Genomic DNA, 12040 nt, shown 5'->3' with positions numbered 1-12040 from the left:
TCTTATTCTCCAGAAATATAATAAAAAATAGATCTTTACCACCATAATCTACATTTTTAAATATACTGTGATCAAAACTTCTATATTCAAGCCTGTTATTATCACTTCCTGTCTTTATTTGGATTGCTGCTTGTGGGTATAAGGCCAACTGCAAGTAGCAGCCTCAGCAAATTGCATTCATCTTGCTTTAATATGTAGACTTAGTTTGAAATGAATAAAAGGATAGTACAGTCATTGTAAAGGTTGATTCTTTGGGTTTTAATAAATTATTCTCACGTCAATAAGTGGATTCAGAGTTAACGTTGATGTTTGTATATAAGCTTATTTTTTTAGGCAGCTATACGTGCACAAGAAAGCATATTTTTTCCCCATGTCAAAAAGGAAGTATGGGCACTCAAACTATTCAACCACTACTTATTGAGTGCTTCTATATGCCAGGCACTGTGCTATACCCACAATCTTTTAAAAATTTATTGTGATCTTTGGAAATATGAAAACATTTTATAGCTAGCCTTGGTTAAATCTCAGTTGTAAAGAGAAAATATGAAGTGTACTTTTACTCATGTGCTATTGAACAGCTATAGAACAAGCAAAACAGAAAAGGCAGACAACTTAGCTTCCAGTTAAATCCTTTCCCAGTCTATACATGGATGTATCAACAGTGAGGTAGTCATAACTTTCTCCTGACCCATACTGTTGCTTCTGAAAGATTGGAGGTTATGGCAGACATTTTGGGAACATGTAACCTTGCACCATTGCCGTGCTTTGTTGCTTGGACCCATGAATCTTCTGTGGCACAGTTCAGTGGCAAGCTCCAAAGGTGCTCCAAACTCAGTGAGCTGAGTTTCAGAGTAGGACACATTAGAAATGAAAACTATTAATACAAGATGATGAATCAAGTGAGTTAAAATTCAGGGAGTAAAAAACAAGTGTGTTTAAGAACCTGGAAATGAGATGGAGGAACAATTTATTAATTGAGTTTGAAATTTTTGCAGGCTTTATTTCAGGCTGGAGAACTTAAATGGGGGACAGATGAAGAAAAGTTTATCACCATCTTTGGAACACGAAGTGTGTCTCATTTGAGAAAGGGTGAGTGAAAAAAATCTGTATGGGGCAGATACATTGGTAAATTTGGAAAGTGCATGAGCCAGTGTGACAGAATACCTGCTACATAGCAGGGACTTAGAGAATGAATCAGTTTTTGTATTTCTTCCTTTTGGTGACCTGGAGAAATCTCAACATTGTTTTTGCTGCTGTTGTAGCTTTTACAAACTAGAGATCCTGAGTCCACCCTTCACTATTGGAGGATGGCAAGGGAGGTCAGTTCTCTAGATTGTTCCTCTCATAGTCACACATCACTGAATAGTGGCTCACTACACGTATTTCCTCCTAGAGGTTGGTACCCAGGACCTTATCTCTGGATAGTCATCAGCACTTGTGGTATCAGTTGGGAATGAATTTAGTGCAAGTGACAGAGAACCCTAATAGTGGCTTTAAAAATTGGGCTTTTTTTCCAGAGGTGGGATTCCATGGTTGATTTGGCAGGACCTGAGATCTTTCTGGTTTTTCTTTTTGCTCCATTATCCCTAGTGTTTTGGTTTTCTTTCTTCATTATCATAAGATGTCTGCTCTAGCTCCAAACTTAACCATTTCACAGCAGGAAGGAAAGAAAAGGGTAAACTAGTCCTATCTGTGTATCACTTTTTGTAAGTGAGGAGATTTCTCAGCATCCCCTCCAGTAGATTTACCTTTAGGTCTCATTGGCTATAACTCGTAAGGGGGCTGGCAATCAGTGAACAAAGTATATTTACAATCCATTGCTTAGGGCTTGGCACATTGAGGCTTTGAGCACAAGGTTCTGTCAGCAAGGAAGAAGGGGAGATTTGTGTTCAGTAAGACACTACCTAATCAAAGTAAATACCATCTTTCTGGAAAGAGTGATCCCTACATGATTAGGGAATCATTTTTATTTTTTCTAGTGTTTGACAAGTACATGACTATATCAGGATTTCAAATTGAGGAAACCATTGACCGCGAGACTTCTGGCAATTTAGAGCAACTACTCCTTGCTGTTGGTAGGTGATTTACAATGTATTGATATTTTTGGTGGTAAGAGCTAAAGCATTTTATTCAATTGAGGCTGCATCTGAAAATAACCACCTAGGTGTGAAGGAAGAGCTTGATATGATATTTAGGGGAAGCAAACTCCCAAATTTCCAATTCAGAAATTTATTTTGATGTTGGAAATACAGGATTGTCTGGTTAGTTCATCTAAATCCTATGGAAATACTAAGATAATTGTTTAAAAATCATTTTGAAGCTGCATTAAAAATATTATTTATTGATAAACCTGAAATGTCGTGGACATTATCTCAGAGGCTTGTAAACATTATTTCTGATACCTGTGGAATTTTAGAATTTTTTTGAATACTGTTCTCTCAGCTTTGAGGCAGACTAAGAAATTGTCATCTGGTTTAGAAAAGAAGAATATCTTTGATGTAATAGAAGATGTGATGATGGTTGTTTTCAAATTAAATAATTTAGTTTTATTTTAATTAAATATTCAGAATAATCTGGAAAAATTGGAGAACTGAATCTGTGCAGTTGATTGCAGTATTATGTACTCCAAAGCTAGGGAGAATCTAGTTTGTGAGTCTCCTGTGGTCCTTTTGTTCATATGGGTCTGCAGTGAGCCTCTGTCTGCTGTTTGTTCCAAGTATTTGGCCTTGAGCTCACACTTTTGTGCTCTCTGTCTTCAGGAGACTAAGCTAAAGATCTGCATGAACCAACTCTAAAAGTAGCCTTTCACTTGAGTACACAGTTAATGTACTTTTACCAGAAAACTTTTAGACAGGTCCTTCATAATTAGAATACGCATACAAATTAAGACATTTTCAGTTACTGGTGGCTGTTTTTCTTAAGACTTAGAAAAGGGAGAATTAAGAAATCTCCACATGCAAGGATTATTTTTGTATATTAAGGAATTTTCATGATAGATTTTCTGAAGCTAAGCAGACTGAGGTCTGAGCAGCCCCAACCTACATTCAACATGTACATGTTCAGAGAAGAGATCCTTTCTGATATTGATTTATCTGTTTTTGTACTGAAATGGATAAATCTCATGCTGCTCTGTGTGAATCATTGATATTAAAGAATATGTAGAGAGTATAGGAAGATCACCCAAGAGTTTAAAAAAATTAGGTAGTAATCTTGTATTATTTGCTTTAATGTCTTGGAATGAAAACTTCCAAGGGATTTGTGTAATTTATTGGTGATGAAGAATGTTGTGGTATTATGATAACAATCCAGGCTGCCCAAACTGCAGTATCCAAAAAGTCTTCACAGAACCAAGGCGCATAGAAAAACCTGTGCCCTTATTCTCCATGCCTTTCTATGCAGACCTCAGAACTCCAAGGAAAACCTAAGCCAGTGTCTAAGAAAATACTTGGTGAGTGAGGAAATCAGATTAGCTTACAGCTCTTTAGCCTCTGGTACTTTTGTGTTTTTATAGAAGTAGAGCTATAAGCAGGAAGCAGCACTTGATTTTTAATTACTTAATCCTTTACATATCAAAATAGCATTTGACCATTGTATTGTTTATTTTCTTAGTGAAATCTATTCGAAGTATACCTGCCTACCTTGCAGAGACCCTCTATTATGCTATGAAGGTAAGTGGAGACCATGAACCTTCTATCTAATACATTTCTCTTTCTAATTATTATTCTTCACTTTTGTTTATGTTTTAGATGATAGACCTTGGGAATTTTTCCCTTATAACATTCAACCCAGTTCTACTAAATTGTTATACCTTATTGATTCACCCGCACCCGGGAGCATTTGATCCTATGTTTGAAGTTTTTAAGCATTTTGCTTCTCTCTTTTTTTTTTTTTTTAAAGGGAGCTGGGACAGATGATCATACCCTCATCAGAGTCATGGTTTCCAGGAGTGAGATTGATCTGTTTAACATCAGGAAGGAGTTTAGGAAGAATTTTGCCACCTCTCTTTATTCCATGATTAAGGTAGTAGAACCTTTCTTTAAATTACGTTTGGGAATCCAAAGCAGACTGGTATGTTGCATGAAAGACAAGGATAAGAGAACCTGATTCTTGTGTTAAGTTTAAAATTTTAGTGACACGATTAGAGCAATGAGTTAAAAAGCTTAGCATAATGTTTCCTGAAGTAGAGATGATGGCTCCCAAGTGAAAGCATGGGTATTGATGTGGCTGAGGCTCTTGGTGAACTCAGAAGCATTATTTAGTAGTGGTAACAGATGACTCAACAAACCAAACCCCTTGCCTATGATAATAATGTGTTCTTTCTGTCTTTTATCAATTCCAGCTGTCTTTATTAGTCCTTCTTTTATTTCATATCAGCTTTTCCTTTCTTTATCGTCTGTTATCACCTTATCTCTGATGCTGGTTTCTAATTCAGGAAAGAGCCAACCAGGTCATATTGGGAGTAAAGAGCCCCTAGGTATTAGTATCATTTTTGTTCTTTTTAAAACAAGGTGCTCTGTGGCCTATAATTACATTTAGCTTAAAGTCTTTTGACTTTTTTTTTTTTTTTCCAGTAAAGGTTAATGTGGACCATGTGCAAAGCAAGATTTCAATTGAGCAGAAGCTTTTAGTTTAGCATGTTTGTGGTTTGGCTGGCCCAAAGGACACTAGAGAGTTTACCCATGCACTTTTAGCTTGAAACATTAATTTATCATGCATGTCTGCATGTGAGACAAGCAGATGCAAAGCATGTTCTGCCCTTCTGTCTCGGAGGGAGAGCCATGACAGCCCTGCAGCCCCAGCACTGCCCGTGTTAGCTGATATATACCAAGTGATAGAAACTATTCTGTCTAGAAGGCTTGATTTGACTATAGTTGTTAAAGTTGCCTGATTCTTTGTGTTACCAGAGGGAATACTGAGTGTCTGAGGTTACATTGGTAGGAAACTCCCTGCATAACATTCCTGATGTGAAAGTCACAGAGATTACCCACTTGGGAGAAGAGTCTTATGAATAAAATTTGTTGCCAGTTATTTAGTTTTAAAATTTTCTATGGCTTCTGTGAGTCATGGAGGTTAATGGAATACATTTGGTTTCAGGGAGATACATCTGGGGACTATAAGAAAGCTCTTCTGCTGCTCTGTGGAGAAGATGACTAACGTGTCACGGGGAAGAGCTCCCTGCTGTGTGCCTGCACCACCCCACTGCCTTCCTTCAGCACCTTTAGCTGCATTTGTATGCCAGTGCTTAACACATTGCCTTATTCATACTAGCATGCTCATGACCAACACATACACGTCATAGAAGAAAATAGTGGTGCTTCTTTCTGATCTCTAGTGGAGATCTCTTTGACTGCTGTAGTACTAAAGTGTACTTAATGTTACTAAGTTTAATGCCTGGCCATTTTCCATTTATATATATTTTTTAAGAGGCTAGAGTGCTTTTAGCCTTTTTTAAAAACTCCATTTATATTACATTTGTAACCATGATACTTTAATCAGAAGCTTAGCCTTGAAATTGTGAACTCTTGGAAATGTTATTAGTGAAGTTCGCAACTAAACTAAACCTGTAAAATTATGATGATTGTATTCAAAAGATTAATGAAAAATAAACATTTCTGTCCCCCTGAATTATGTGTACATGTGTGTTTAGATTTATTATTAAATTTATTTAACAATGTTCTCTCTTTTTAAGCTAATAATTGACAGTGGTGTTAGTTGAGAACTGAATTTACAGTTGGTCTTTTGGGCAGTAAGAAATGCAAACCATAGACTGAATTTCCTTCATAGTACATGATTTTTCCTAAATATAGGAAAGATCGAAGGGGTCTCTGGTTTATTTGCACCATGTTTATTTAGGCATCTATTAAAGCAATGCTTGTGGTGCTACTTGCTTAGTAGAAAAGCTAATTATAAAACTTAATGCAAAAATTCAGAGTACTACCTTTCTCTTTCCTCTTTCCTATTGTGAACTTGCCTCCCATTTACTGTCTGTCACTTTCTTTGAGATAAATAAAAAAGACAATAATTTTTTCTAGAAAGAAGCAGTTTATCGATCTCTTCTAATATTTGCCTTTCAGTTTTCTGTTTTCAAACTGCCATTTCAGTTGGTGTCATTTTTCTTTTTGTACTTATGCCCTTCTGGTTGCATTTTTTTTTTTAAAGCCAAGTAATTGCCATTAATAAGCTTTTTTAAATAAAATGAACTAATCTTCCTTTGAAAACTTTAAAATAGTGATAATATTCTTTTCACCACCGTTGATGCTCATCAGAATAACCAGGGGAATCTTAAAAACTGTATGTGTACACATGATATTGGATTTTTGTTTTTTTGAGAGGCCTCATAGGCAATTTTAATGCAGAGGCAAGTTGAGAATCAGTTGGTTATACTTTTCACATAGAAGATGATATGTTTCAAAGAGCTCTGTTCTGTTATTGAAAATAGGCCACTGGCTTTAAATATAAGCCCTGGATTATTTATTAGTAACACTTTAAGAGAAATCCACCTGTGAGCTTTAACATTTGCTATATTTTCTGTAGGTCTGGATCTGAAAATTTATTAATAAAAGAATTAAAAAAATAAAAATCCACAAAAAACATTTGCTATATTTATTTACTTAGTGACCTTCTTCCCAGCTCTCTGTGAGTTTATTGGGAGACAAATTTTTGTGGAACTAGATAAGCTGATTGTAAACATCATGCAAAAAAGGAAGGATTGTTAGTAAAACTTGAGAGTAGTGAGGGAGCACTATTCTTCTATTCTTTACACAGATTAGACTACATATCCTGAATAGCTGAAACAGTATAATACTGTGGCATGAATAGACAGACAAAACAGCAAGTTCAGATATGGAAACAAATCATTTGGAAATTTAGTATATGTTAAAGGTAGGTCTTAATTTGCTGGGTAAAGATAGCATTTTTTTCTAACAAATGGTGTGAAGACAGTTGGGGAGCCATCTAGGAAAATATAAGGCTTTTTCTATACCTCATGTATCAGGTAACTCTCAAAATGAAACATTTAAACTTAAAAATAAAATCATAAACATATGAGAAAGAAGCATGGAGGGATTTCATCATACCTGCACCTTCTAGATTCTCTGGGAAGCAGATGCTGAGATGGAGTTAGGGATGCAACAGGTTTATTGAATGGAACAGGTAGAAGGCAGGATTGGGCAAGGGGTGTCATCAGATTGCACTGCAGACCTGACCAAATCTTTGCCAGTATCATGTGGAACTCTGAGGCAAAGAGTTCCTGCAAAGAGCCCTTTGTGAGACAGAAGTGCCTGGGCCCTGTGCCACCACCTTCCTTACTCAATTATTGGCTAAGTGTCTTCTGGAGAAGAGCTTGGCTTGGCTGGAAAGCTGAGGCAAAACCTGAAGGAGATTAAGAGTTGGAAGGCTGTCAGCAACCCACATTTTCACAGCTTGGAACTGAGTATTTTCTTGAAAGGGGATCTAAGTGGTGCAGTTCCATGTCTGCCATAATGATCTTGAAGTGTGAGGCCTTTCTATCACCCAAAATCCAGAAGCCATAGGAGAAAAGATGATTATTTTTGATTTCCTAAAAATCAAAAACTACATGGAAGGCAGGCCAGGCACAGTGGCTCATGCCTGTAATTCCAGCACTTTGGGAGGCCAAGGTGGGTGGATTGCTTGAGCACAGGAGTTTGAGACCAGCATGGACAACATGGCAAAACCCCATTTTTATTTTTTAAAAAACCAAACAAAAAATTAGCTGGATGTGGTGGCACACGTCTCTGGTCTCAGCTATTTGGGAGACTGAGGTGAGAGAATTGTTTGAGCACAGGAGCACAAGGCTGCAGAGAGCCTGAAGGAGGGAAGGAGGAAAGGAAGGAAGGAAGGGAGGGAGGGAGGAAGGGAGGAAGGGAAGACGGGAGGGAGGGAGGAAAGGAAGGAAGGGAGGGAGGAAGGGAGGAAGGGAAGACGGGAGGGAGGGAGGGAGGGAGGGAAAATCACCACCAAGACAATTTAAATGACAAACGGGAAAACATTTACAGTTCATACAACAAAGATCTAATCTCCTTTGTACATGCTGACACACCTTGTTTTATTGTACTTTGCAAACAATTAAAAAAAAATTTTTTTAAACAAATCATAAGTTTGTGGCAACCCTGCATTGAGTCAGTGTATCAGCACCATTTTTCCAATAGCATGTGCTCACTCTTTATCTGTTTGTCACATTTTGGTAATCCTTGCAATATTTTAAGTTTTCATTATTATGTATCTTATGGTGATCTGTGATCAGTGATCTTCAATGTTACTGTCATAATTAAGGTGCTATGAACCATGCCCATTTAAGACAGTGGGCTTAATTGATAAATATGTGAGTTCTGACTGCTCCACCGACTGGCTGTTCCCTCATCTCTCTCTCTCTTTCTCTCTCTCTCTCTGATCCTTTCTATTCCCTGAGACAAAACAATATTGAAATTAGGCCAATTAATAACCCTGCAATGGCCTCTGAGTGTTCAAATGAAAGGAAGAGACTCACACATCTCTTATTTTAAATGAAAAGTTCAAAGTGATTCAGCTTAGTGAGTAAGGCAGGTCAAAAGCCAAGGCAGGCTGAAAGCTAGGCTACTGGTGCCAAACAGCCAAATTGAGAATAAATGTAAATTTTAATTTTCTTTCTTGAAGAAAATTAAAAGTGCTACTCCATTGAACACATGAATGATTAAGACAGTGAAATAGCCGTATTGCTGATATAGAGAAAGTTTGAGTAGTCTGGTTAGAAGATCAAACCAGCCACAACATTCCCTTAAGTCAAAGCCCAATCCAGAGCAAGATCCTAATTTTCAATTCCATGAAGGCTGAGAGGTGAGGAAGCTGCAGAAGAAAAGTAAGTGAGCAGTTTTGGTTCATGCGGCTTAAGGAAAGAAGCCGTCTCTGTAATAGAAAAGTGCAAATTGAAACAGCAAGTGCTGATGCAGAAGTTGCAGCTAGTTCTCCAGATGACCTAGCTAAGATAATTGATAAAGGAGGCTACACTAAACCACAGATTTTTAGTGTAAACAAACAGCCTTCTATTAGAAGATGCAATTTATAGCTAGAGAGGATACATCAATGCCTGGCTAAAGCTTCAAAGAACAGGCTGACTCTTTAGGGGCCAATGCAGCTGGTGATGTTAAGCTGAAGCCAGTGCTCATTTACCATTCCCTGGATCCTAGGGCCCTTAAAAATCATGCTAAATCTACTCTGCCTGCATTCTATAAATGGTACAACAATGGATGATAGCACATCTGTTTATAGCATGGTTTGCTGTTATTTTAAGCCCACTTTTGAGACCTGCTCAGAAAAAAAATCCTTTTCAAAATATTACTGTACATTGACAATACACCTCATCACTTAAGAGCTCTGATGGAGATTTAGGAGGAGCTGAATGTTGTTTTCATGCCTGCTAACACAACATATATTCTGCACTCCATAGATCAAGGAGTAATTTCAACCTTTAAGTCTTATTAAAAAATGTACTTTATAAGGGCATAGCTGCCATAGATAGTGATTCTTTTGATGGATCTGGGCAAAGTAAATAGAAAACATTCTGGAAAAGATTCACCATTTTAGATGCCATTGATATGGTTTGGCTTTGTGTTCCCACCCAAATCTCATGTTGAATTATGATTCTGAGTGCTGAGTGGTGTGAAGTAACTGGATCACTGGGGTGGTTTCTAATGGTTTAGTATCATCCCCTAGTGTTGTCTCATAATAGAGTTCTCACAAGATCTGGTTGTTTGCAAGTGTGTAGCACCTCTCCCGTCACTCTCTCTTCCTCCTGCTCCACCATGGTAAGATGTACTTGCTTCTCCTTTGCCTTCTGCCATGATTGTAAGTTTCCTGAGGCCTCCCAGCCATGCTTCATGTACAGCCTGTAGAACTGTGGAATCAATTCAATTTCTTTTCATAAATTACCCAGTCTTAGGCATTTCTTTATAGCAGTGTGGGAACAGATTAATACAGCCATTAAGAATATTCATGATTCATGGGCAGAGGTAAAAATATCAGCATTACCAGGAGTTTGGAAGGAATTCATTCTAAACCTCATGGATGACTTTCAGGGGCCTAGGACTTCAGTGGACGAAGTAATTGCAGACATGGTGGAAATGGCAACAGAAGTAGAAGTAGAAGTGAAGCCTGAAGATGTGACTGAATTGCTGCAATGTCATGATAAAACTTGAATGGACAAAGAGTTGCTCTTATAGATGAGCAAAGAAATTAGTTTCTTAAGATGGAAACTATTCCTGGTGAAGATGCTGTGAACATTGTTGAAACAACAACAAAGGATTTAGAATGTTCCATAAACTTAGTTGATAAAGCAGCCATAGGGTTTGAGAAGATTGACTCCAATTTTGAAAGAAGCTCTACTACTAGACACTGTGGCTTATGCTTAGCTACTCAGGAGGCTGAGGCAGGAGGACTGCTTGAGGCCAGGAGTTCAAGACCAGCCCAGGCAACATAGGGAGATCCTGTCTCTCAAAAAAGAAATGAAAAAATAATGAGCTTGGTGTGGTGGTGCATGCCTGTAGTTCCAGCTGCATGGGAGGCTGAGGCCTAAGAGTTTGAGGCTGCAGTAAGCTATGATCATGCTGCTGCCCTCCAGCCTGGGTGACAGAGCGAGAGCTTGTCTCTTAGAAAAAAAAGTCTGTTTCAGAGAAATCATTTGTTAAAAAAAGAGTCAATCAATGCGGCAAACTTCATTATTGTCTTATTCTAAGAAATTGCTGCAGTATCCCAAGCAGCAGCCATTAACGTCGAGGCAAGATCCTCCACTAGCAAAAAGACTATGGCTCGCTGAAGGCTCAGATGTTTGTTAGCATTTTTTAGCAATAAAGTAGTTTTAAATTAAGGTATATACATTTTTTAAAGGGAAAAAAACCCCAAACCAGTACTATAGTAAGAAAAAAAAAGGGCAAAAGAGATGAATAGGCAGTTCATAGAATAAGAAATATGGCCCTTAAGCATGAAAAGATGCTTGATTTAACTCATAATAAGGGAAGCGCAAATTCAGATTACACTGAGATTCCTTTTTCCACCTATCAGATTGTCAAAAATCCAAAAGTTGGAGAACATCGTTGTTGTGACGGCAAGCTACAGTGAACTAGGAATTCTCACAGATGGTCAGTAGGAATAAAAAGTGGTATAACCCCTCTGGAGGGTAGTTTGGCAATATTTACCCAATCTATAAATGTATTTACCTTCTGACCCAGCAATAGCGCTCTGTGCATTTTTCTACCCATCACCTGCATTTATGAAATGCTGTGCGTGTAAGTTTATTATTGTGACATTGTCAATTCTCCTTAAATTCAACTATACATTTAATGTGATCTCATTAAAATACCCAGAGAAAATTTTTGGAAGTTTATGTGAAAAAACAGACAAGTAAGAGTGCCAGGAGAATTCTTTCTAAAGAATTGGACTGTGATCAGGTAGCCTGATGCCTCCAGCTTTGTTCTTTTTGCTTAGGATTGTCTTGGCTATGTGGGCTCTTTTTTGGTTCCACATGAACTTTAAAGTAGTTTTTTCCAATTTTGTGAAGAAAGTCAGTGGTAGCTTGATAGGGATAGCATTGAGTCCATAAATTACCTTGGACAGTATGGCCATTTTCACGATATTGATTCTTCCTATCCATGAGCATGGAATGTTATTCCATTTGTTTGTGATCTCTTTTATTTCCTTGAGCACTGGTTTGTAGTTCTCCTTGAAGAGGTCCTTCACATCCCTTGTTAGTTGGATCAGTTGGATTCCTAGGCATTTTATTCTCTTTGTAGCAATTGTGAATGGGAGTTCACTCATGATTTGGCTCTCTGTCTGTTATTGGTGTATAAGAATGCTTGTGATTTTTGCACCTTGATTTTTTATCCTGAGACTTTGCTTAAGTTGCTTATCAGCTTAAGGAGATTTGGGGCTGATACAATGGGGTTTTCTAAATATACAATCATGTCACCTGCAAACAGAGACAAGTTGACTTCCTCTTTTCCTAATTGAATACCCTTTATTTCTTTCTCTTGCCTGATTGCCCTGGCCAGAA

At 37.7% G+C, this 12040-nt stretch overlaps 1 protein-coding gene across 1 annotated transcript in view; it reads left to right on the top strand.

Moving 5' to 3' along the window:
- Window positions 1-5676, top strand: part of ANXA5 (annexin A5) — a 29035-nt gene extending 23359 nt beyond the window's left edge. The window contains exons 9-13 of the mRNA NM_001154.4: window positions 996-1089; window positions 1980-2075; window positions 3610-3668; window positions 3898-4020; window positions 5095-5676. Of these exons, the coding sequence (NP_001145.1) occupies window positions 996-1089; window positions 1980-2075; window positions 3610-3668; window positions 3898-4020; window positions 5095-5154 (432 nt within the window). The 3' untranslated portion in view covers window positions 5155-5676. The remainder of the gene's footprint in view (window positions 1-995; window positions 1090-1979; window positions 2076-3609; window positions 3669-3897; window positions 4021-5094) is intronic.

This window comes from Homo sapiens, chromosome 4 (genome assembly GCF_000001405.40).
Source record: "Homo sapiens chromosome 4, GRCh38.p14 Primary Assembly".
Classification (NCBI taxonomy): domain Eukaryota; kingdom Metazoa; phylum Chordata; class Mammalia; order Primates; family Hominidae; genus Homo; species Homo sapiens.
The sequence above is the reverse complement of the archived record's forward strand: the minus strand, read 5'-3'. Positions and strand labels throughout refer to the sequence as shown.